The sequence below is a fragment of the Homo sapiens genome, chromosome 4 (assembly GCF_000001405.40).
Source record: "Homo sapiens chromosome 4, GRCh38.p14 Primary Assembly".
NCBI lineage: Eukaryota > Metazoa > Chordata > Mammalia > Primates > Hominidae > Homo > Homo sapiens.
In genome coordinates, this window is record NC_000004.12 from 54,119,055 (window position 1) to 54,146,411 (window position 27,357).

General features: G+C 38.8%; 1 non-coding gene across 1 annotated transcript, besides 1 other annotated feature; it reads right to left on the reverse strand.

The window, feature by feature from the left end:
- Positions 1 to 4,045: 4,045 nt before the first annotated feature.
- Positions 4,046 to 4,150, reverse strand: LOC124900899 (small nucleolar RNA U13). Its single transcript, XR_007058541.1, has one exon. It is a non-coding gene; the product is annotated as a small nucleolar RNA U13 (small nucleolar RNA).
- Positions 22,838 to 23,056: a silencer, noted in NCBI's record as "fragment chr4:55008059-55008277 (GRCh37/hg19 assembly coordinates)". NCBI's record gives its function as "represses an EF-1alpha promoter that drives an FKBP-Casp9 reporter gene in an ReSE screen in K562 erythroleukemia cells {active_cell/tissue: K562}" and the evidence as "EXISTENCE:reporter gene assay evidence [ECO:0000049][PMID:32094911]".

The following is a 27,357-nucleotide window of genomic DNA, read 5'->3' on the forward strand; positions in this document are numbered from 1 at the left end:
TGAGATCATGTCTGTAAAAAAGAAAGAGAAAAAAGAACAAGTGAGGAATGTACACTGTAGACCCCAAAGCCACAAACCCAGACAAAAGAGAACAAATAAAAAGAGATACAACCAATAAGCTAATAAAGACTATAAAATGAAATATTAAAAAGTAGTGCTAGTGAGAGATAAAGAATTAAAGGAACTAAAAAGTCCACTAATGAAAGCGTAATGACTGAAGCAAGAAATAGACCAAATGTGAAGTGTTGGTTTATATTCTGAGCATATTAGGAGAAAGGCAAACTGGAATCTATTCTGGGGAAAATAGCCAGGACATGCAGTCTTGTTGCTTTTGCCCCCTGCTTGTCTCTCCAAAGATGATGATGAGCTCATCTCCTCTTTTTTCAATCCTAATGACCAAGAGCTTATATTATTGAGAAGTAACGGTTCTGAGATATGGCAATTGTTAGTCAAGGAAACAATTCTTCCAAGTGTGATTAGTTTGTGATAATTAGCTGGTGTTACTATGTCGAAATGATTTGAACTGTTTTAGTAAACTATGCAGGGCTACTGAGCAATGCAAACACAGTTTTATGATTGTAAGTAAACTTTAAAAAATTACTCCTGGATATATATCCAGAGTCAATGTGGATAGCCTTGCTAAAGAGATGAAGATTATGTTAGTATTTGTAAAAACCTCAAAGAATCCAAAGATATCTTTAAAGAAACATATATATATTATTTTCTTTTGAGACAGGATCTCACTGTGTCCCCCAGGCTGGAGTGCAGTGGCATGATCATGGCTCACTTCAGCCTTAAGCTCCTGGGCTCAAGCGATTCTTCTACCTCAGTCTTCTGAGTAGCTGGGACTACAGGCACGTGCCAACATGATCGGGTAATTTTTTTGTTTTGTTTTGTTTTGTTTTTTGTATTTTTTGTAGGGACGGCATTTTACCATGTTGCCCATGCTGGTCTTGAACTGCTGAGCCCAAGCAATCCACCTGCCTCAGCCTCCCAAGGTGCTGAGATTACAGGTGTGAGCTACCACACCTGGCCAAGAAACCACATTTTTTTAAAAATCTGGAAATATAGTCACCTGTGTATTGAGAAGAAGCTTACCAAGATGAGGTTTTATTTATTTAATTAATTAATTTATTGTTTTTGAGATGAGGTCTCACTCTGTCACCCAGGCTGAGGTATAGAGGCATTATCACAGCTCACTGCAGCCTCAATCTCCCAGGCTCAAGCAATTCTTCCACCTCAGCCTCCTAAGTAGCTGGGAATGCAGGCAAGCACCACCATGCCCAGTTACTTTTTAAATTATTATTATTTTGTTTTGTAGAGACAGGGTCTTGCTATGTTGCCCAAGCTGGTCTTGAATGTCTAGGCTCAAGCAATCCTCCTGCCTCAGCCTCCCAGAGTGCTGGGATTACAGGTGTGAGCCACCATGCCCAGCCCCAACAATTGTATATATGAGTTACAGTTGATCTAAAATTTCACCAACTCTGTAGACTCAGGCTTCTTAACTTTTGGCAATCCAGTGGGTGTAAAATATAATTCCTTATGGTCTTATTTTGCTAATTACTAGTGAGTTTGAGGAACTTTCATATCTCTTTTCACCATTCATATTTTCTCTTTTGTGAGATGCCTGCTCATACTTCCTGTCCAGAACTATATTGCATCATGTGTGTTTTACTGATTTACTGTTTTATGGATTACTAATTTTTTGGACTTTGGATATTCTGGATACTAACCCTTCAATGATTATAAGTGTAGCAAATAGCTTCTTTATTTCTCTATGGTGCCTTTTAAAGAACAAAAGTTCTTTTTTTTTTTCTTTTTTTGAGACAGAGTCTCACTCTGTCACCCAGGGTGCAGTGCAGTGGCGTGATCTTGGCTCACTGCAACCTCCACCTCCTGGGTTCAAGTGATTCTTGTGCCTCAGCCTCCTGAGTAGCTGGGATTACAGGCGTGCACCACCATACTCAGTTTTTGTATTTTTTAGTAGAGATGGGGTTTCACCATGTTGGCCAGGCTGATCTCAAACTCCTGGCCTCAAGTGATCCGCCCGTCTCCGCCTCACAAGTGCTGGGATTACAGGCGTGAGCCACCGTGCCTGGCTAAAAGTTCTTAATTTTAATGTAGCTGAATTTATCTGTGCCTTTCAATCTTGTTTAAGAAATACTTCCCTACCTTAAGGTTATAAAAATATTATCCTATAACGTTCTCTAAGAGAATTCAAGTTTTGTATATAATACAGCAGAGACTGCTTCTGTGTATGATATATAAGTATATGATTTTCTTTGTTTTTTTTCATAACCTATTGTCCCAACACCATTTACTGAATAGTTCACCATTTTTGTCATAAATCAAGTGTCCACGTAAGTGTGGGCCTTTTTTTTCAGGCTTTCAATTTTGTTCAGATGATTACTTTGTCTATCTGAACTGATACTAAGCTGTGTTAAGTACTATGTCATCTATGATAAGTCTTGCTATCTGACAGGGCATGTCCTCACTCATGTTTTTTGTTGTTGTTGTTCTTCAGGGCTATTTTAATTATTTTGGGGTCTTTTATCTGTTACATAAATTTTAGAGTCAGCTTAAGTTACTCAAATACTCCTTTTGGGATTTTTATAGGAAAAGCATTGAGTCTGTAGGTAAATGTGGGGGATGTTGTGAAGTGTAGTGTGTAATTGTATAATTATATACATTGTATAATACTAAGTGTTCTCTCATCAATGCAGTGTGTTTCTCCTTTGTAGTCTTCTTCATATCTTTTATTTCTAGGTACTTATATTTATTACTGCTATTGTAAGTTTTATCTTTTGAAATTTTGAAATCATTTTATACTCCTAAAGGTGTAAAAATAGCATAAAGAATTCCCAAATATCCCCTTCACTAAGATTCTCCAAATGTTAACATTTTATCTTATTTGCTTCTCTCTCTCTTTAAATATATATGTGTGTACACATATATTTATTTATGTATTTTTTTTCTTAAATGTTTGAAGTTAAGTTACAGATTTATAGTACTCTTAAGTACTTTACCTCTAAATACTTCACAATGCATTTCCTAAAATTAGATAGTTTTTCTGGGTATACAATTTAAGATTGACAGAATTTTTTCTCAACACTTTGAAGATATTATTCCACTATCTCCTGCCTTCCCACATTATGAAAAAGTCTGTTATCACTCTAATTGTCATTCCATTATTGGTAATCTATTTTATCTCAGTAGTTGCATTCTGTGTGTGTGAGGGGAGTGGTAGGGAGGGGCATTGGTGTTTTGTATTTCACAGAAATATGTTTAAGTGTAGATTTCTTTCTATTTGTTTTCCTTGGTATTCATTTTCCATCTGTATCTGTGGATCAATGTCATACATTGCTTCTGGAAAATTCTCAGCCATAATAGCTTCAAATTTTTTTTTCTTGAGACAGAGTCTCGCTCTGTCACCCAGGCTGGAGTGCAGTGGCGCGATCTCGGCTCACTGCAACCTCCGCCTCCCAGGTTCAAGCAATTCTCCTGCCTCAGCCTCCTGAGTAGCTTGGATTACAGGTGCCTGCCACCATGCCCAGCTAATTTTTGTATTTTTAGTACAGACAGGGTTTCACCATGTTGGTCAGGCTGGTCTCGAACCTCTGACCATGTGATCCACCCACCTCAGCCTCCCAAAGTGCTGGGATTACAGGCGTGAGCCACCGTGCCTGGCAAATAGCTTCAAATATTGCCACTTCTCAGTCTTATCTGTTCTCTACTTCTGGATTTGAATTAGATATATACACTTCTATCTCTTATCATACTATCCATTTGGGAGTGAGAGGGCTGTATTCTGGATAATTTATTCTACCCAACTTCCAGTTTACTAATTCTGTTTTAAGCTGTATCTAATTTTTATCCATATATTCAAATTTTTACTTCAACAATTTTTAAAAACTAAAAATTCACTTTGGCTTCTTCTAAAGTCTGGCCACTTTGGATAATCTTTTATTCCTCATATTTGTGTTTCTGTAATTTATTGCTTTATGACTCCTATTTATTTCTTCTTGTTTGTTTTCTTTTTCTTCCACATCAGATGGATAACGTACTGACATCATAACAAGGTTTGAGGGAAGCACATCTCACACATAAACATGAAAACCCAATCATCGCATTTATGAACTACAAAAAAGATCTCCTATTTATTTAAAACATCTTATACATAATTAAAATAATTAAGGGTGTCCAAATCTGTTGTTTGTGATTTCAGCTGGCTCTCACTCAGAAGAAACTCATTAACACGTATGCTTGGCAGTCAGATTTCATTAACCTTAACTTGTAGAAAATCCGTCGAATGAAACTGTGAGCGGAATAGCTTCTGCTAGGAGTCACTTTTGTTCCCTTTCTTTAATCAGGAAAGCTCAGCTTCAGCTTCTATTTTTTTTCTATTGACCCAAAATTTGAACTCTACATTGCAGAGCTGATATCACATATGCCTGCAGGACAAGCTGACTTTTTAAGCATCTTAGGACTTCTATTCTGGTGTCAGTTCAAGGTTTGGACCTACTGTCAGAGGTTTACCTTATTTCCTGGAAGCCCAGCAATAAACATTTTGTTTTGTGCAGGATCTCATTATTTTGTAGTAGGGAATTCCTTTAGACTATTTTGTCTACCACGTCAGTTTTGTTTTTTTTTTCTTTCTTCAGCTGAGGAAGATTTTTTTCCCCACTTTTTTTTTTTTTTTTTTTTTTTTGAGACAATTTCACTCTTGTTGCCCAGGCTGGAGTGCAATGGTGCGATCTCAGCTCACTGTAACCTCCGGCTCCCGGGTTCAAGCGATTTTCCTGCCTCAGCCTCCTGAGTTGCTGGGACTACAGGCATGTGCCACCACGCCCAGCTAATTTTGTATTTTTAGTAGAAATGGGGTTTCTCCATGTTGGTCAGGCTGGTCTTGAACTTCCGACCTCAGGTGATCCACCCACCTCGGACTCCCAAAGTGCTGGGATTACAGGCGTGAGCCACTGAGCCCGGTCTGGTTATTACTTCTTATGTTAAATGGTCAAACTTATCTTAAAGGTATTATGGTCAGAATGGCATGTATTGGTTCGACAGCTGTCAAGTAGATCTGTAAATAGAATAGAGATTGTAGGAACATATTTAGGTATTTGTTAGGACTTAATATATGACAAAGATGGCACTGCAATCATTGATAAAGTATGGTTTATGTAATAAATAGTGTAACATAATTGGTTATGTATATGAAAGTAAGAGGTTTCCTTCCTCATTCCATATAGATAGGTAAGTTTTATCTTTAAAATTCACTTAAATGTAAAAACAAACCTATACAAATATATGAAAAAATGGAGAAAAGTGTTTTTATAGCGTCATGGTGGAGTTGACCTTAAGCAATGTGGGAAATTCAGAAACAACAACTGAATGTTGGCAGAATTGACTACTATCTCATGTTTAAGAATTTATCCTATACGAAAAAGTCAGTTAACAATGACCAAAGAGTCCAGTCTTAAGGATGGATGAGAATAGGCTGGGCGCGGTGGCTCACGCCTGTAATCCCAGCACTTTGGGAGGCCGAGGCGAGCGGATCACAAGGTCAGGAGATTGAGACCATCCTGGCTAACACGGTGAAACCCCGTCTCTACTAAAAATACAAAAAATTAGCTGGGCGTGATGGCCGGCGCCTGTGATCCCAGCTACTAGGGAGGCTGAGGCAGGAGAATGGCGTGAACCCGGAAGGCGGAGCTTGCAGTGAGCCGAGATCGCGCCACTGCACTCCAGCCTGGGCAACAGGGCGAGACTACATCTCAGAAAAAAAACAAAAACAAAAACAAAAACAAAAAGATGAATGAGAATAATGATCTGGATTCTGTTTAAGTCTGCTTAAACTAAGTTACCTTGAAGGTCTATGTAAGATAAAAATGCAAGTAGGTAGATGTGGTTTCCCATTGCCTCCTTTGTCTTTTTATGGAAAAGTCTCCAAAGGTCAGAGATGCTAACAATTAGTTGTTAGCATAGATATAGAATGAGATGTCTGCCTGGTGAGAGAATCACAACAATGTAGAATTTAGGTCTTTTATATCCTCAAGAAGGTCAGCTCCCAAAATTATACTTACTATTGTAAAAAGTAACCATCCTTGGAAAGGCACATCATCCCCGAACCAAATGGCTGCATTCTAGAACATGTAATTCTTGCTGTATTGTCATTGAAACAATATTTCCTCATCTGTTCTCATGCGGAAGAATTTTTTTTTTAATTTTCCTTACTTTGGGGCTTTCCATGGGCTACCCTCCCTTGGCCTAGCCAGCCAGTACATAAGGTAATACACAAAAAATCCTGGCATAGTGACTGGTACACAATAAATGTTTGGTAACTTTTAGCATTATAATTAGACTTGTTACAGACAACATGCACTACTTTTGTAATTAGAAAAAAAGCCCCCTAAATAGAAAAATAGAGGAAAGAAATACTAAAAAAAGTTTAATATGTTTGCACATTGACACTGTAATTCCAGTTCTAAAAATTGTTCTTCAGAAAGAATCACACAAGTACAAAGATGTGCATAAAAGGTTGATTGTATCAGCATTGTTTGCTATAGGAAAAATTATAAACAGCCTAAAAGTTCAGGCATTGGTTAAATAATGTATAATATATTAATTATATAGAATACAATGTAATCTTATATATACACACTAAATGTGATACTAAAGTAAAAAATATACATGCAGAACATTACTTTAATCATTTAATCAATGAATATTTATTGAATGATTACTATGCATTAGACACTGCCAAAAATTAGGGATATAATGTTAAAGAAAACAGACAAACCCTCATGAAGCTTATATATACATATCAACAGCAGTGGTGGCCTTTGCTTTGTAGAATTGGGGCTGGAAGGAAGTGGATTTTGTAAATTTTTACGCTTCCTTTTTTTTTGAGATGCAGTCTCACTCTGTCACCGAGGCTGGAGTGCAGTGGTGTGACCTCAGCTCACTGCAACCTCTGCCTCCCCGGTTCAAGCGATTCTTCTGCCTCAGTCTCCTGAGTAGCTGGGACTACAGGTGTGCGCCACCACGCCCAGCTAATTTTTGTATTTTAGTAGAGACAGGGTTTCGCCATATTGGCCAGGTTGGTCTCGAACTCCTGAGCTTGTGATCCGCCCACGTTGGCCTCCCAAAGTGCTTGGATTACAGGTGTGAACCACCACGCCTGGCCATTTTTACTCTTTTTACTTTTTATACTTAGCTTATACAACATTGTATTGTAAGACATTTTCTAGAATGATTGTATAATTTAAAACCCAATAGATTTTTTTTTTTTTTTTGGAAGCAGAGTTTTGCTCTACGGCCCAGGCTAGAGTGCAGTGGCATGATCTCGGCTCACTGCAACCTCCACCTCCTGGGTTCAAGCGATTCTCCTGCCTCAGCCTCCCGAGTAGCTGGGATTACAGGAACAAGCCACCATGCCCAGCTAACTTTTGTATTTTTATTAGAGATAGGGTTTCACCATGTTGGCCAGGCTTGTCCCAAACTCCTGACCTCAAGTGATCCACCTGCCTTGGCCTCCTAAAGTGCTGGGATTATAGGCATGAGCCACGGTGCCTGGCCCCAGTAGATATATTTTTTAAAATTTTAGTTATTATTTCTGTCTGAGTCTGTCTGTGCTGCTATAACAGAATACTATAAATGAGTAATTGATAAAGAGTGTAAATTTATTTCTTACAGTTCCAAAGGTGGGAAAGTTCAAGATCAAGGCACCAGCATTGGTATTTTGTGAGGGCTGCTGTCTGCTCCCAAGACGTCACCATGTTGCTGTGTTCTCAAGTGGTGGAAGGCGGAAGAGCAAGAGAGCAAAAAGGACCTAAGCTAGTTCACTCCATTCATGAGGGCAGATCCCCCAGGACCTAATCACTTCCCAGGAGGTCCCAGCTCTTCTCAGGCCATCCTCCTACCTTGGCCTCCCAAAGCACTGGGATTACAGATATGAACCACCACGCCTGGCCACTGGTAGTTAATTTCTTTTTTTAAAAAAATTATTATGTTAAAACTTTTGTGGGTACATAGTAACTGTATATATTTATGGGGTACATGACATAGGCATGCGATAAGCAATAATCACATCATGGAAAATGAGGTATCCATCCCCTCAAGCATTTATCCTTTGTATTACAGACAATCCAATTACACTCTTAGATATTTTTAAATGTACAGTTAAATATCATTGACTATAATCACTCTTTTGTGCTATCAAATACTAGGTCTTACTCATTCTTTCTAACTGTATACACTTTTTGTTCCCACTAACCATCCGCAGGCTGGGCGGAGTGGCTCACTCCTGTAATCCCAGCACTTTGGGAGGCCCAGGCAGGCAGATCACTTGAGGCCAAGAATTCAAGACCAGCCTGGCCAACATGGCGAAATCTTATCTCTGCTAAAAATACAAAAATTAGCAGGTGTAGTGGTGGGTGCCTGTAACCCCAGCTACTTGGGACACTGAGGCATGAGAACTGCTCGAAGCTGGGAGGTGGAGGCTGCAGTGAGCCAAGATCATGCCACTGCACTCCAGCCTGTGACAGTGTGTGACTCTGTCTCAAAACAAAAACAAAAACCATCTCCGCTTACCCCCAACCCCTCACTACCCTTCCCAGCCTCTGGTAACTATCCTTCTACTCTCTATCTCCACAAGTTCAATTGTACTGATTTTTACCACCCACAAATAAGTAAGAACATGTGAAGTTTGTCTTTCTGTGTCTGACTTATTTCACTTAAGATAATGACCCCCAGTTCCACACATGTTGTTACAAATGACAGAATCTCATTCTTTTCATGGCTGCATAGTACTCCATTGTACATATGTATCATATTTTCTTTATCCAGTGATATGTTGATGAACATTTAGGTTCCTTCCAAATCTTGGCTATTGTGAACAATGCTGCAACAAACATGGAGGTGATAGCTGACATACTGATTTCCTTTCTTTTGGGTATATACCCAGCAGTGGGATTGCTGGATCGCATGATAGCTCTATTTTTAGGTTTTTTTTGAGGAACCTCCAAACTGTTGTCTATAATGGCTATACTAATTTATATTCTCACCAACAGTGTATGAGGGTTCCCTTTCCTCCACATCCTCACCAGCATTTGTTATTGCCTGTCTTTTGGAGATAAGCCATTTTAACTGGAGTGAAATGATATCTCACTGTAGTTTTGATTTGCATTTCTCTGATGATCAATGATGTTGAGCACATTTTTATATGCCTGTTTGCCATTTGCATGGCTTCTTTGGAGAAATGACTATTCAAATCTTTTGCCCATTTTTAAATCAGATTATTAAATTTTTCCTACAGAGAGGTTTGAGCTCCTTATATATTCTCGTTATTAATCTCTTGTCAGATGAGTAGTTTGCAAATATTTTTTTCCCATTCTGTGGGTTGTCTCTTGATTTTGTTGATTGTTTCCTTGGCTGTGCAGAAGCTTTTTAACTTGATGTGATCCCATTTGTCCATTTTTGTTTGGTTGCCTATGCTTGTGGGGTATTACTCAAGAATTTTTTGCCCAGACCAATGTCCTGGAGAGTTTCCTCAGTGTTTTCCTGTAGTAATTTCATAGTTTGAGGTCTTAAGATCAAGTCTTTAATCCATTTTAATTTGATTTTTGTATATGATGAGTCGTAGGGGTCTAGTTTTATTTTTCTGTATATGGATATCCAGTTTTCCCAGCACCATTTATTTAAGAGACTGTCCTTGCTCCAATGTATATTCTTGGCACCTTTGTCAAAAATGAGTTAACTGTAGGTGTATAGATTTGTTTCTGGCTTCTTTATTCTGTTCAATTGGTCTATGTGTCTGTTTTTATGCCAGTACCATGCTGTTTTGATTACTATAGCTTTGTAATATAATTTGAAGTCAGGTAATGTGATTTTTCCAGTTTCATTCTTTTTGCTCAGGATAGCTTTGGTGAGTCTGGGTCTTTGTGGTTCCATATAAATTTTAGCGTTGTTTTTTCTATTCCTGTGAAGAATGTCATTGGTATTTTGATAGGGATTGTATTTAATCTGTAGACCGCCTTGGGTAGAATGGACATTTTAACAATAATGATTCTTCCAATACATGAATATGGAATATATTTCTATTTTTAAGTGTCCTCTTCCATTCCTTTCATCAGTGTTTTATAGTTTTTATTGTAGAGATCTTTCACATCTTTGGTTAACTCCTGGGCATTTAATTTTATTTGTGGCTATTGTAAATGGGATTCCATTTTTGATTCTTTTTCAGATTGTTCACTGTTGGCATATAGAAATGCTACAAATTTTTCTATGTTGATTTTGTAACCTGTAACTTTACTGAATTTGTTTATTAGTTCTAATAGTTTTTTGGTGGAGTCTTTAGGTTTTTTTTTAAATATAAGATCATATCATCTACATACAAGGATAATTTGACTTCTTTCTTTCCAATTTGGAGGCCCTTTATCTTTCTCTTGTTTAATTTTTCCATTTAGGACTTCCAGTACTTTCCATTGTTGAAAGTGGACATACTTGTGCTCCAGATCTTAGAGAAAGGCTTCCAGTTTTTCCCCATGCAGTATGATACTAGCTGTGAGTCTGTCATATATGGCTTTTATTATGTTGAGGTATGTTCCTTCTATTTCCAGTTTTTGGAGGGTTTTTATCATGAAGAGATGTTGAATTCTATCTAATGCTTTCTCAGCATCGATTGAAATGATCACATGGTTTTTGTCTTTCATTCTGTTGATATGATGTGTTATATCACATTGATTGGTTTGCGTATGTTTGACCATTCTTGCATCCCTGGGATAAATCTTACTTCATCATGATGAATGAATAATCTTTTTAGTGTATTGCTGAATTAGCTTGCTCATATTTTGTTGAGGATTTTTGCAAAAATATTCTTTAGAGGTATTGGCCTGTAGTTTTCTTTTTTTGATGTGTCTTTGTCTGGTTTTGGTATCAGGATGATACTGGCCTTGTAGAATGAGTTTGGAAGTATTTCCCTCTCCTCTATTTTTTCAGTTCATTTTGAGCAGGATTGGTATTATTTCTTCTTTAAATGTTTGCTAGAATTCAGCAGAGAAGCTATTAGGTTCTGGGCTTCTCTTTGCTGGGAGACCTTTTAATTACGGCTTTGATCTCATTATTTGTTATTGGTCTGTTCAGGTTTTGGATTTCCTCATGGTTCAATCTTGGTAGGTAGGTTGTATGTGTCTAGGAATTTATCCATTTCCTCTAGACTTTCCAATGTGTTGGCATACAGTTGCTCATAGTAGCCACTAATGATCCGTTGAATTTCTGTGATATCAGTTGTAATGCCTCCTTTTTCATCTCTGATTTTATTTATTTTGTCTTCTTTCTTTTTATCTTTTAGTCTGGATAATGATTTGCCGATTTTATATTTTCAAAAAACCAACTTTTTGTTCTGTCAATTTTTTGTATTTTTCGTTCATTTTAAATTCATTCATTTCTGCTCTGATTTTTTTTTTTTTTTTTTTTTTTTTTTTTTTTTTTTTAGATAGAATCTGGCTGTGTCACTCAGGAGGCACAGAGGTGTGATTTTGGCTCAGTGCAACCTCCACCTCCTGGGTTCAAGCTATTCTCCTGCCTCAGCCTCTTGTGTAGCTGGGATTACAAGTGCACGTCACCATACCCAGCTAATTTTTGTATTTTTAGTAGAGACTGGGTTTCACCATGTTGGCCAGGCTGGTCTTGAACTCCTAGCTGGGATTACAGGTGTGAGCCACCAAGCCCGGCCCATACATTACATTTTAAAAAAACTGCATCTGAATTTCTGCTCTATACTCTACATTTTATTTGAATGTCCTCTGATCAAAAAGTTACCAGATTTATTAAAAATACCTTAAAAATTATATCTTTTTACACTATCTTCCTCAGAATTTGGCAGATTAAAACAAACATTCACAAATTATTGAGAGTAAACTGTTTCTCAACAATTGAAATGTGTAGTCCTTGTAGCTACACATTTTGACTATGTCCTTCATATGATTTAAATTTCCTTTGCACAATTTCTTAGAGGTTTGAGAATTTCTCAATAGAATAAAAGAAAAGCACAAGTCCTCTACCCATTGAAAAAATTTTTTGAGAAATGCTATCAGGTTGATAGACTTTATGAATTCAAAAATTTGGAAAACTTTTCTATATGTCTAAGCAGCAATTTAGTTTTTCATACATGTGTGTATGTGTGTGTGTATACACATATATATGTTACCTTCTGGACACAGCATTCAAACAATAATTTCTAGGAGAGAATTGTAGGTAAGAGCTAAAGGATGTGTACTCAGGAAGCCAGTAATGGCGTGTGGTGCCTGGGTTCCAAGCTAGCCTTTTTTTTTTTTTTTTTAATGATATGATCTTATTTTATTTTATTTTTTTATTTTTATTTTTTTAATTTTCTTATTTTATTTTATTATTATTATACTTTAAGTTTTAGGGTACATGTGCATAATGTGCAGGTTAGTTACATATGTATACATGTGCCATGCTGGTGTGCTGCACCCATTAACTCGTCATTTAGCATTAGGTATATCTCCTAATGCTATCCCTCCCCCCTACCCCCACCCCACAACAGTCCCCAGAGTGTGATGTTTCCCTTCCTGTGTCCATGTGTTCTCATTGTTCAATTCCCACCTATGAGTGAGAACATGCGGTGTTTGGTTTTTTGTTCTTGCAATAGTTTACTGAGAATGATGATTTCCAATTTCTTCCATGTCCCTACAAAGGACATGAACTCATCATTTTTTATGGCTGCATAGTATTCCATGGTGTATATGTGTCACATTTTCTTAATCCAGTCTATCATTGTTGGACATTTGGGTTGGTTCCAAGTCTTTGCTATTCTGAATAGTGCCGCAATAAACATACGTGTGCATGTGTCTTTATGGTAGCATGAATTATAGTCCTTTGGGTATATACCCAGTAATGGGATGGCTGGGTCAAATGGTATTTCTAGGTTGCCTTTTTTGAAAAAACGTAGTGTTGCCCATACATATGCAAATGATAATAAACCAATAATGTATTAACTGTAATCTACTAGAAAGATTTCACCAGCAATAAATGTTTGCTGTAGATACCTTTTGGGGGTAGATGCCTTTAAGATGTCAAAAAGAGTCACATTTTATCTTTGATTAAAGTGTTTCATAGAGTAATATGCCATGAGAGTGGCTAGAAGAGGACTATTACACATAGTGTGTTTGAGTAAAGAAAACATGATCTACTGATAATAAAATGTTAGAAAATAGACTATCATGATTTCAAGTTATACAGTTGCACTGCCTCTGACCTGAAGATGAGCAGCTGTAAAGGGATCTGATTTGAGAGAGGAAGGGACTAAGAGAGCTTCTGTTGCCTCCCATTTCACTTCTGCACCTGCCAGACCCTGATACCTTAAATGGGGAATGGGGAGATTTGCAGAGTACTACAGATACTGAGTACTGTCTATCAGCAGAGTTTGATACACTTAATGGAAATTCTACCTATTAAGTGATTATTCATTCATCTATTAGATAAATGAGAATGCTTTGCAGGAGGTAGGCACCTAGTAAGTGCCAGATGGCAACTTAAGTTTCAATACAGTCATGCGGAGCTTAACAACTGGGACACATTCTGAGAAACGCATCACTAGATTTTGTCATTGTGCAAAGATCGTAGCATGTACTTCCACAGACCTAGAAGGTATATATATTATTATTTATATATATTCTTCACATGGAAAACTAAATGCCCTATCACCATTATTGAATATCAATCTTTTCCCCCACTTAATGTGCAGTGCCAGTATCTTGTGCCAGGTATCAGGTTTCTATATGTGCTCCATTATAATCTTATGGTATCACCATCATACATGTGGTTCATCATTGACCAAAACATGGTTATGTGGCACATGACTGTATTTTGGAAGGATGGAGACTTTTGATATTCAGCATCTACTGCTATTCTCTTCACATGCTCTATTTTTTGCATTGATAGCTAAAAACTACAGTATCCAGGCTCCCTTGCAGCTAGGAGTTTAGATGTAGTCTCTGCCCTTGAGGCAGTTACATGACATTTGAAAATAGAAGAAAGTGAGGCACAGTGGCTAGGCTGGGCACGGTGGCTCACGCCTATAATCCTAACACTTTGGGAGGCTGAAGTAGGCAGATCACTTGAACTTAGGAGTCTGAGACCAGCCTTGGCAACATAGTGAGACCTTGTCAAAAAAGAAATAGAGAGAGAGAGAGAGAGAGAGAGAGAGAGAGAAAGAAAGAAAGAAAGAAAGAAAGAAAGAAAGAAAGAAAGAAGAAAGAAAGAAAAACAGAGAGAGAAAGAGAGAGAGAGGGGAGGGAGGGAGGGACGAAGGAAGGAAAAGAAAGCGGAAGAGAGGTGGAGGCCATTGTATTCCTGTGGAGGTGCAGGAGCACATGTAGGCTCCAATAGATGTGAGTGTGGGCAGTGCTGGGCAACATTGCCTATTCTACTGCCACAGTGGCTTCCTGACCTCTGGACCCCAGAAGTGGCAATGTATCACCTTGAAGCCAAAAGCCTAGTCCTAGTGACCAATTTTTGCTCCTTTCAAAACCATCTTTCAATGGTTTTGTAAGCATCTAACTTTCTCTACTAAGTTCCTTCCTGATTAAAATAGCTTTTTCCTGCACTAAACCCTGACAGGTACTAATTGGTGTAAGGTGAGGGATTCTACCCCTTTGTCTTTCTGCATACTGCAATAGGCCACGTAATCAATGGATCAGTCCTACTGTTGCAAATTCAATCAGTCTTAACTGTACTGCAGCATATCCTGATGAGCTCAAAGATGTCATACCCCACCATTTTAGTTCACTCAGGCTGCCATCACAAAATATCATAAACTGGGTCGCTTATAGATAACAGAAATTTTATTTCTCACAGTTCTGAAACTGGGAAGTCCAAGATTAAGGCAACAGCAGATTTGGTGTCTGGTTGAGGGCCACCTTCCTAATGGAGGGAAACTTCTCACTATGTCCTCACAAGGTGGAAGTAAGGGGTCTCAGGCCTATTTTATAAGGACACAAATCTCATTCATGAGGGTTCAACTTTTGTAATATAATCACCTCCTAAAGGCTTTGACCACCTAGTACCATTGCCTTAGGGATTAGGATTTCAACATTTGGATTTGGTGAGGGATGCAAATATTCAGAACACAGGACACACCATCTCCAAAGCCTAACTCATTGGTAGACTATGGCTGCTCAGTTTTCTCTAAGGTTAAAAAGAGTTTTATTTTGGCCAGAGCAATTAGGCAAGAGATAGAAATAAAGGGCTTCCAAATGGCAAAGGAAGAAGTCAACTCAGTCTGGTTCACAGATGACATAATTTTATTTTCATTTTTATTTTTTATTTTTTGAGACAGGGTCTCCCTCTCTGTCTCACCCAGGCTGGAGTACAGTGGTGTAACTGCACACCAGCCTCAACCTTCCAGGCTCAAGCAATCCTCCTGCCTCAGCCTCCTGAGTAGTTGGGACTACAGGCCCACACCATTATGTCTGGCTAATTTTTGTATTTTTCATAGAGATGGGATTTTGCCTTGTTGCCCAGGCTGGTCTCGAACTCCTGGGTTCAAGTGATCCACCCACTTTGGCCTCCCAAAGTACTAGGATTATAGGCATGAGCCACCATGCCTAGCCAATATAATCTTATACTTAGAAAAACCTAAAGACTTCACCTAAACATTGTTAGAAATAACAAAGTCAGTACAATTGTGGGATACAAAATCAACATACAAAAATCAGTAGCACTTACATAAGCTACTGTAAGTGGGCAGTAACAATCTGAAAAACAAATCAAAAAAGCAATCTCATTTACAATGGCTACAAAGAATATAAAATATCTAGGAACCAATATATCCATAGAAGTTAAAGATATATATATAAGGAAAACTATAAAGTACTGATTAAAGAAATTGAAGAGGACACAAAGAGTGGAAAGATGTTCCAGGCTCATGAATTGAAATCATTAATATTATGAAAATGATAATCTTACTCCAAACAATTTATAGATCCAATGCAATCTCAATCAAAATACCAATGACATTCTTCACAGAAATAGAAACAAAATCCTAAAATTTACATGAAACCACAAAAGACCTTACATAGGCAAAGCAGTCGTGAGCAAAATAAACCAAAGCTAGGCCAGGTGTGATGGCTTGAACCTGTAATCTCAGCACTTCGGCAGGCCAAGGCAGGAGGAATATTTCAGCCCAGAAGGTTGAGGCTGCCGTGAGCCATGATAGCACCACTGCACTCCAGCCAGAGTGACAGAGAAAGAACCTGCCTCTAAATTTTTTTTTTAATTAAAGAGAACAAAGCTGGAGGCATCACATTACCTGACTTCAAAATGTACTACAAAGCTATAGTAACCAAATCAGCATAGTACTGGCATAAAAACAAACACATACACCAGTGGAATAAAATAGGGAACCCAGATATAAATCCACACATTTACAGCCAACTCATTTTTGACAAAGGCACCAAGAACATACCTTAGGTAAAGGACAGTCTCTTCAATAAATGGTGCTGGGAAAACTGGATAACCATATGCAGAAGAATGAAACTAGACCCCTATTTCTTACCGTATACAACAGAACTAACCAAAATAGATTAAAGACTTAAATCTAAGACATGAAACTACTGGAAGAAAACATTGGGGAAACTCTCCAAGATATTGGTCTGGGCAAAGATTTTTGTGTAAGACCTCAAGAACACAGGCAACCAAAGCAACAATAGACAAATGAGATTATATCAAGCTGAAAAGCTTCTGCACAGCAAAAGAAACAAGCAACAGAGCAAAGAGACAACCCACAGAATGGGAGAAAATATTTACGGCTATCCACCTAACAAGAAATTAATAACCAGAATATATAAGGAGCTCAAACAACTCAATGGTAAAAAAAAAAAAAAATTAAATTAAATTAAATTTAAAAACCCACACAAATGATTCAATTGTTTTAATGGGCAAGCAATCTGAATAGACATTTCTCAAAAAAAAATACATACATATAGCCAACAGGTATATAAAAAAATGTTCAACATCACTCATTATCAGAGAAATGCAAATCAAAACCACAATGAATTATCACAAGTCAGTTAAAATGGCTTTTATTAAAAAGACAGGGAATATCAGACTCTGTTGAGAATGTGGAGAAAGAGGAACACTCATACACTGGTGGTGAGAATGTAAATTAGTACGGCTATTATGGAAAACTATATAGAGGTTTCTCAAATAACTAAAAACTGCTATATGATCCAGCAATTTCACTACTGGGTATATATACAAAAGAAGCAAAATCAATATGTCAAAGGGATATCTGCACTTTCATGTTTACTGGAGCACTATTCACAATAACCAAACTATGGAATCAACCTAAGTACCCATCATTGGGCGAAAGGATAAAGAAAATGTGGTATATATACACAATGGAATATTGTTAATCTATAAAACAGAATGACATCCTGTCATTTGTAGGAACTTGGATGGAACTAGAGGTTACTATGTTAAGCAAAATAAGCCAAGCACAGAAAGGCAAATATCACATGTTCTCATTCTTATGTGGGAGCTTAAAAAGTGGATCTCATGAAGATGAAAATAAATTTGTCATTACCAGAGGCCAGGAAGGGTGAGGGGAATGAAGAAAGCTGGGTTAATGGGTACAAATATACAGTCTGATAGAAGAAATAGGATCTAGTGTTTGCTAGATCAGTAGAGTGACTATATTTGTAAACTATAGCTTACAATAGTTTATTGCATATTTCAAAATAGCTAGAAAACAATAATGCAAGTGTTTCTAGCATAAATAAAAGACAAATATTTAAGGTAATGGATATCTCAATTACACTGATTTGATCTTTACAAATAATATAAATGTATTAAATTATCACATATGCCCCAAATGTACATTTTTAAAAATTAAAAATTAAGAGAAAAGTTTAATTTTCAAAAACAAAAATATTACTGACACAATTATGTATAAGAATGCATCAACAGGCAGTTCAAAAAAGTGGAAATAGAAATGGTCAATAAACATATGCAAAAACACAGCCTCATTAAAAATGGCAAAATGCAAATTTTTATTAAAATGAAGTAACACTTATTAGATATATCGGCAAGAAAAAAAAAATCAAGTTTGGGCCAAATGCAGTGGCTTATGTCTGTAATCCCAACACTTTAGGAGGCTGAGGTGGGCAGATTGCTTGAGCTGAGGAGTTTGAGACCAGCCTGGGCAACACGGCAAAACCCCATCTCTGCAAAAAAATACAAAAATTAGCTGGACATAGTGGTGCATACCTGTAGTCCCGGCTCCTTGGAAAGCTGAGGTGGGAAGATCACTTGAACCTGGAAGATTGAGGCTGCAGTGAGCAGTGATCGCACCACTGCACTCCAGCCTGGGTGACAGAGCAAGACCCTGTGTCAAATAAATAAATAAATAATCAAGTTTGATATTATCAAATACTGGCAAGACCATGGATAAAATAGATATTTCATGCTCTGCTGGTGGGAATATATATTGGTGCAGTAACCTGTAAGCGGAATTTGACAGATTCTACTGAAATGTTTAAAATGCACACTCAATGACTGCATTTTAACCTCCATGCACACAAGGAAAAATGTACAAGCATATTCATTGGACCATTGTTTAAAATAGGAAGAGATGTTAAGCTTAAAATGTCCATCAATAAATGACCACCTAAATAAACCAGGTCCAACTTTGAAAAACTAGGCAGCTATTAATAAGGATGAGATGGAGCCATGTATTCTTATCTGGGAAGATCTCCAAATTCCATTGGTAGGTGTAAAAAGCAAGTTGCAGAAGGATTCATCAGGCATGCCATTTTCTTAAAAGCATATTTTCTACTATATATATTTAATAAGCACATATTTATCCATTGAAGTACATTAGAAGTGGCCTGAAAGAATACACACTAAGCAATAATTACCACTGGAGAATACAGGAAGGGTAGCAACATGCTGTGAGCCTCATTTCTTACATTTTACAAAATTGAAAAGCCAGTTAAGTAGAGGTCGGATAAGAGAGTTTCTGTTTGCATAGCCTATGCCAGAGGTTTTCAAATGCTAAATATGGTCCTAAAATTATTCAGGAAGATAAAGATAAAGATACAGATTTTAGACCACCACCTCCAGGAACTTTGACTTATGTACATATAAAGCAAAGCCTAGGAATGAAATGTTTAAAAAGCTTCCCTGGTAAGTATAAAGTGATTGGAGCCATGCTGAAGGTCACTGTTCCCAGCCCAGCTAAAATTAATTCAACACATAGAAGAGCAGAGAAGCAAGGATAAGACATTGGCTATATGTGCGTGCCTTCTACTAGGGTAGAAATACCCAGTGCTATTGCTAGAAAGCACAGACTTGACTTACCAATTACTAATAAAGCCATTCTCACAGGGTTAATAAGAATTTTGGACAGAAATATAGCTATAATTAAGCATTAATCATGCTATATTTTGACCCACTTCTTTGTAACCAAAAGTCACATAGCACTAGATACTCACAATTTGCAACCCTGTTTTTCCTATAGATAGGATTTCTGACATTAGATTCATAAGACTTGTTTAAGAATTGCTTAAGCAGACTCTGAATTCCAGTGGAATGGCTGATGCCAACCAGTTTGAAGACCCCCACAGCAGAACTGAATCAGCATGAAAACACATTTTTTCATCTTCCTGGGCCATGATTTCACCCTGCACTCTTCGACCAATCAATATCTCCACACTTCAGCCAACTCCAAAACCCTTAACAATCCTAGCCCCAAATTTCTCAGGGAGATGGATTTTAGGTTTACTCTCATTTCCTCATTCAGCAACCCTTCGCTTAAACCTCTTTCTCTGCTGCAATCCAATATATCAGCACGTTGACTTGCTGTGCACATTGGGTAATGGGCATATTACAGTTACACACACTTATTGGTGCCTGAGAAATTAACAGAGAATGGGGTAGAGCAAGACGGCTGATAGAGGCTTATACTGTTCATCCTCCACATAGCAACACCAAATTTTAACTACTAACTACACACAACAAGCACCATCATAAGAACCAAAAATCAGGTGAGCAATCATAGTACCTGATTTTAACTTTATATCACTGAAAGAGACATTGAAGAGGGCAGGAAAGACAGCATTGAAGCACTGACGCCACCCCTCCTTCATCCCCCAGCAGCGGCCATGTAGCACAGAGAATCTGGGTGCTTGGGAGAGGGAAAGTGCAGCAATTGTGAGGCTTTTCATTGAACCCAGTGCTCCCCTGTTACAGTGGAAAGCAGAACCAGGTTCTACTCAGCTGATGTTCATTTGGCCCAGCTCTAGCCAGAGAGAAATTGTCCATCCCACTGGTGGGAGCTTGAGTTCCAGCAAGCCTCATTACCGTGGGCTGGAGTGCTCTGGGGCACTAAGTGAACTTAAGGGTCAGTCTAGGTCACAAGGAGTGCAATTCCTAGGCAAGTCCTAGTGCTGAGCTGGGCTCAGAGCCAGTGGACTGGGCAGGCATGAAACCTACTGAGACACCAGCCGGGGTGGCTTGGGAGGGTGCTTTTGTCACCCTTCCCTCACCCCCCAGCAGTGGCCATGTGGTGCAGAGAAATCTTTGTGCTTGGGAGAGGGAGAGCACAGCAACCGGGGGACTTTACATTGAACTTAGTGCTGCCGTCTCACAGTGGAGACCTGGCAGGATTCATCTCCTGCTGACAAAAGAGCCCCTAGGCCCTGAATAACCACCAGCAATACCCAGGTAATACACTATGGGCCTTGGGCTCTGAGACATGCTGGCTTCAAGTGTGACCCAGCACATTCCCAGCTGTGGTGGCTACAGCGAAAGATCTTTCTGTTTGAGAAAAACAGGGGGGAAAGTAAAGGGGACTCCGTCTTGCACTTCAGGTACCAGCTCAGCCACAGTGGGGTGGAGCAATAAGCAGACTCTTCAGGTCCCCACGTCCAAGCCTAGGCTCTTGGTTAGCATTTCTGGACCTGCCATGGACCAGAAGGAAGCCCACTACTCTGAAGAGTGAGTGTCAGGTCTGGCAGCACTCATCACAAGCTGACAAAAGGGCCCTTGGGCTTTAAGTGAACATCAGCGGTAGCCTGGCAGAACCCCTCGTGGGGTGCTTATGGTGGTGGCCACAGGGAGAGAAAAGTGGGAAGGACTTTGTCTTATGGTTTGAGTGCCAGCTTTGCTGCAGTAGAGTAGAATACCCGGTAAATTTCTAAGGTATTTGACTTAAATCCCTGGCTCTCAGACAACATCTCTGGACCAACCTAGGTCTGGAGGAACTCACTGCCCTGAATGGAGGGACATAAATCAGACTGGCTTTGCCATATGCTGATCATAAAGCCCTAGGTCCTAGAGTGAACTTAGGTGGTAGCCAGATAGTAGTTACAGCAGGCCTTGGGTGGGGCCCAGTGCTGTGCTGGTTTCATGTCTCAGCCAGCACAGTCCTGGTGGTGGTGGCTACAGGGTACTTGTGTCCCTCCACCTCCAGTTCCAGGAGACTCAGCACAGAGTCAGGGAGAGACGCTGCTTGTGAAAAAATAAGAGAAAAAAATAAAAGTGTCTGCCTGGTAATCTAGAGAATTCTTCCAGATCTTATCCAAGACTACCAGAGCAGCACCTCTATGAGTCTGCAAGAAACATAATATTATTGGACTTGGGGCCCAAGTTCCTTCAAAATACCCGGAAAGCCTTTCCAAGGAGGATGGGCACAAATAAGCCCAGACTGTGAAGACTACAATAAGCGCCTAACTCTTCAATGCCCAGACATTAACGAACATCTACAAGCATCAAGACCATCCAGGAGAAAATGACCTCACCAAACAAAATAAATAAGGAACCAGGGACCAATCCTGGAGAAACAGATATGTGACCTTTCAGACAGAGAATTCAAAGTAGCTGTGTCGAGGAAACTCAAAGAAATCCAAGAAACACAAAACAGAAATTCAGAATTCTTTTTTTTTTTTCTTGAGATGAACGCCCAGGCTGGAGTGTAGTGGTACGATCTTGGCTCACTGCAACCTCTGCCTCCTGGGTTCAAGTGATCTTCCCACCTCAGCCTCCTAAGTAGCTGGAATTACAGGTATGTGCCACCACACCCAACTAATTTTTATGTTTTTAGTAGACATGGAGTTTTGCCATTTTGGCTAGGCTGGTCTTGAACTCCTGACCTCAAGTGATCAGCCTCCCAAAGTGCTGCGATTACAGGTGTGAGCCACTGCGCCTGGCCAGGAATTCAGAATTCTATCAGACAAATTTAACAAAGAGATTGAAGTTATTAAAAAGAAATGAAATTCTAGTGCTGAAAAGTACAACTGCCATGCTGAAGAATGCATCTGGGTCTCTTAATAACAGACGTGATCAAGCAGAAGAAAGAATTAATGAGCTTGAAGACAGGCTATTTGAAAATCCACAGTCAGAGGAGACAAAAAGAAAGAGTAAAAAACAATGAAGCATGTCTACAAGATATAGAAAATAGCCTTAAAAGGGCAAATCTAAGCACTATTGGCCAAAAAGAGGAGGTTGAGGAAGAGATGGGGATAGAAAGTTTATTGAAAGGGATAATAACAAAGAACTTCCCAAACCCAGAGAAAGATATCAATATTCAAGTACAAGAAAGTTATAGAACATCAGGCAGATTTAATCCAAAAAAGACAACCTCAAGGCATTTAATAATCAAACTCCCAAAGGTCAAAGATAAAGAAAGGATCTTAAAAACAGCAACAGAAAAGAAACAAATAAAATATAATAGAGCTCCAATACATCTGGCCTCAGACTTTTCAGTGGAAACCTTATAGGCCAGGAGAAACTAGCATGACATATTTTAAATGCTGAAGGGAAAAAAAAAACTTTAACCCTAGAATAGTATATTCAGCAAAATATATCTTTTAAGCATGAAGGGGAAATAAAGACCTTCCCAGACAAACAAAAGCTAAGGGATTTTCATCAACACTAGACCTGTCCTATAAGAAATGCTAAAGGAGGCCAAGCGTGGTGGCTCATGCGTGTAATCCCAGCAGTTTGTGAGGCTGAGGCGGGTGGATTGCTTGAGGCCAGGAGTTCCAGACCAGCCTGACCAACATGGTCAGGTGTCTCTACTAAAAATACAAAAATTAGCTGGGTGTGGTGGCGCATGCCTGTAGACCCAACTACTTGGGAGGCTGAGGCACTATAATTGCTTGAACATGGGAGGCAGAGGTTGCAGTGAGCTGAGATCATGCTACTGCACTCCAGCCTGGGCAAAAGAGTGAGACTCCATCTCAAAAAAAAAAAAAGAAATGCTAAAGAAAGTTCTTACATCTGAAAGAAAAGGACATTGATGAGCAATAGGAAGTCACGTGAAGCTACAAAACTCACTGGTAATAGCACACAGAAAGACATAGAATATTATAACACTTTAATTACGGTGTTCAAAATACTCTTAAGCAGAAAGACTAAGCAATGAACTAATCAAAAATAATAACTACAGCAATTTGTCATGACAGACAGTACAATAAGACATGAAGAGAAACAACAAAAAGTTAAAAAGCAGGAGGATGAAGTTAAGAGTTTTTATTAGTTTTCTTTTTGCTTATTTGTTTGTTTATGCAATCAGTGTTAAGTTGTCATCAGTTTGAAACAATGGGTTATGAAACAGTAGTTGCAAGCCTCATGGTAACCCCAAATTGAAAAACATACAATGGGCCAGGCACAGTGGCTCACGCCTGTAATCCCAGCACTTTGGGGGGCTGAGACGGACGGATCGCTTGATATGAGGAGTTGGAGACCAGCCTGGCCAACATGGTGAAAACCCTGTCTCTACTAAAAATACAAAAATTAGCCAAGTGTGGTAGTGGGCACCTGTAGTCCCAGCTACTCGGGAGGCTGAGGCAGGGGAATCACTTGAACCTAGAGGCAGAGATTGCAGTGAGCCAAGATTGTGCCACTGCACTCCAGCCTGGGTGAAAGAGTGAGACTTCATCTCAAAAAATGACAACAACAACAAAAAACTGGACTCTTTCATCATTATATAATAACCTTCTTTGTCTCTATAGGCGGCAGAAACAAAGAAGGTCATTATATAATAATCAAGGAGTCAGTTTAGCAAGAAGATATAACAATTATATATGCACCCAACACTGGAGCATCCAGATATATGAAGCAGCAAATATTATTTAAGGTAAAAAGACAGCCCTCAGTACAATAATAGCTGGAGATTTTAACATCCCACTTTCACCAATGGACAGATCTTCTAGACAGAAAATCAACAAGGAAACATCAGGCTTAAACTGCACTATAGAACAAATGGACCTAATAGATATTTACAGAGCATTTCATCTGAAGGCTGCAGAATACACATTCTTCTCCTCAGCACATGGATTATTCTCAAGAATAGACCATATGTTAAATCACAAAACAAGGCTTTAAAAAATTCAAAAAAATTGAAATAACATCAGGCATCTTCTCTGACCACAATGTAACAAAACAAGAGATTTGGAAGCTATAAAAATACACAGCAATTAAACAATATGCTTCTGAATGACCAGTGGGTCAATGAAGAAATTAAGAGGGAAATTGAAAAATTTGTTGAAACAAATGATAATGGAAACAGAACATACCAAAACCTATGGAATACAGCAAAAGCAGTACTAAGAGGGAATTTTATAATTATAGGTATCTACATTTAAAAAGAAGAAAAACTAATCTAATAATCATAAATAACCTAATGGTACGTGTTAAAGAACTACAAAAGCAAGAGCAAACCAAACTCAAAATTAGCAGAAGAAAAGAAATAATAAATATCAGAGCAGGTGGGGTGTGGTGGCTGACGTCTATAATCCCAGCACTTTGGGAGGCTGAGGCAGGCTCATCACTTGAGGTCAGGAGTTCAAGACCAGCCTGGCCAACACTGTGAAACCCCATCTCTACTAAAATACAAAAATTAGCTGGGCATGGTGGCACGTGCCTGCAGTCCCAGCTACTCCGGAGGCAGAGTTGAGAGAATCGCTTGAAACCAGGAGGTTGCAGTGAGCCTAGATCATGCCATTGCACTCCAGCCTGGGTGACAGAGTGAGACTTGGTCTCAAAAAAAAAAAAAAAAAAAAGGATACATGAAGGCCTAAGTGGATTTTGAGTTTATCTAATTTATTGTTCTCTAATAGGCCTAGAATATAAAATAAAGAAATAGGATAATACTTTTTTTTGTATTGCTTCTGAAGTGATACAAATGAAATTATATCTTCCTCAGACCTTCTACAAGCTATAAAAATTCATAGACTATTTGAAAATAAGCCTTGCTACTAGTCTTATCAAAAACTTCAAAATGTTTCCACTTCTTTGAAGTGCAATTGGTGGCATGAAAAGAACCCAGAACTAGAAGATGAAGGGCACAGGTGGGTTTTAGCCCTGGCTTCTTTTTTTTTTTTTCTTTTTTGAGACGGAGTTTCACTTTTGTTGCCTAGGCTGGAGTGCACGATCTTGGCTCACTGCAACCTCCACCTCCTGGGTTCAAGTGATTCTCCTGCCTCAGCCTCCTGAGTAGCTGGGATTACAGGTTCCCACCACCACACCCAGCTAATTTTTGTATTTTTGGTAGAGACGGGGTTTCACCATGTTGGCCAGGCTGGTCTCGAACTCCTGACATCAGATGATCCGCCTGTCTTGGCCTCCCAAGGTTCTGGGATTACAGGCGTGAGCCACTGCAGCCGGCCTAGCCTAGCCCTGGCTTCTTTTCTTACAAGTTGTGTGTCCTTGGGCATTTATTTAACTTTTCTGATCTGCAGTTTTCTTTATCTGTAAAGTCAACAGTTGTAAAGATTAAATGAGATAACTTTTGAACAGTGCTTTTCAAACTAGAAAACACCGCAAATATTTGATTATAAGGTAGGTTTGTCCAAGTCCCAACAGCTGTGGGAGGACTGAAAATAAAAGATAAAATTTTTAAACTTACAATTGTATGTGCTAAAGGAAGATGGCCAGGATGGTGAAGTGTGCAGTGACCTTGTGGTTAGAAATGTGGTTGGAGGAACTAAGACTGTTACTCTGAAGCCTGAACACTGGGGTTGCAGAGAGGAGAATCAATATTTACAGCCTGGCCTGGTGGGAATCCTACTGTATGACTTGGCCTTTAGCAGTGTCAGATTTTTAAAAATATTCCTGTTTTATTTAGAAATGAGTTATCACCTCGCCTTGCTCATTTTCCTCTCATCTTTACATTCCCTTAATCCAAAAACCAGGAAGGATGCAGGCTTAGGTCTTCAGATGTCTCAGGCTGATCTCTCTGTGCTTATAGAATCTTTTTAAGGCCACAGGAGAGGTAGGTGACATCTGGATGTAGTCTCAAAACAAAGCTCAACATGCATATCTTGGTGGAAATCTGAAGGAAATGGAACAGGAGGAAAATGAAGACACAACTTTGAGGCACATATGGATTGGAAGTTGTCTAATGGAAGGTCTGGATACCTTTCAGAATTCTCAGAGGATATACTTTTTAAGGTATAAGTGACTCATGACAGGAGGAGTGGAGAGCTGGTGACCAATTTGAAAATTGCTCAGGAATGCGGATTGATGTTTGGAACATCAATTTCCATAGTTTATATACTTTCTACTATTCAATCAAATTAAGATTGATGTTTGGAACTCCAATTTCCACAGTTTCTATTGCTTCTCTTTTCTCATAATAGTCTTTCTACCTCTTTTTATTTAACCAAATAAGACACAGTGAGTTTAATGAATTTTGGGTTTTTTTTCCCCCAGTTGGGAAGATCTGTCAATATTTCATAGGCAAGCAAAAAGAGGCACTAAAAGGGACCTATTAAAATATTTTAGTCACTTCTGAAGATCCAAAGACAGGTTCTTTTTTTGCAAAGCTTTATTCTCTTTTTATGAATTCCTCTTTTTGCTGATTTGTCTTTTATTTCTTTCCTTTTTTTTTTTTCTTTTGAGACAGAGTTTCACTCTGTCTCCCAGGCTGGAGTGCAGTCGCATGATCTCGGCTCACTGCAAACTCCACTTCCCGGGTTCAAGCGGTTCTCCTGCCTCTGCTTCCTGAGTAGCTGGGACTACAGGCACACACCACCATGCCCAGCTAACTTTTGTTTTTTTTATAGAAATGGGATTTCACCATGTTGGCCAGGCTGGTCTCCAATGCCTGACCTTAAGTAATCCACCTGCCTCGGCCTCCCAAAGCACTGGGATTACAGGCATGAGCCACCATGCCCAGCCTGATTTGTCTTTTGTGATTACTCAAAGATCAAGCAGCTCATACTATGTACATCAGTTTTACAGACCTGGCAAGGTAGCCCTTTGGCTTGCCTTCATAGCTGTGAACCTGCAATTAAGTCATCAAAAATTTTCAGCCTGCTGCCTATTTAC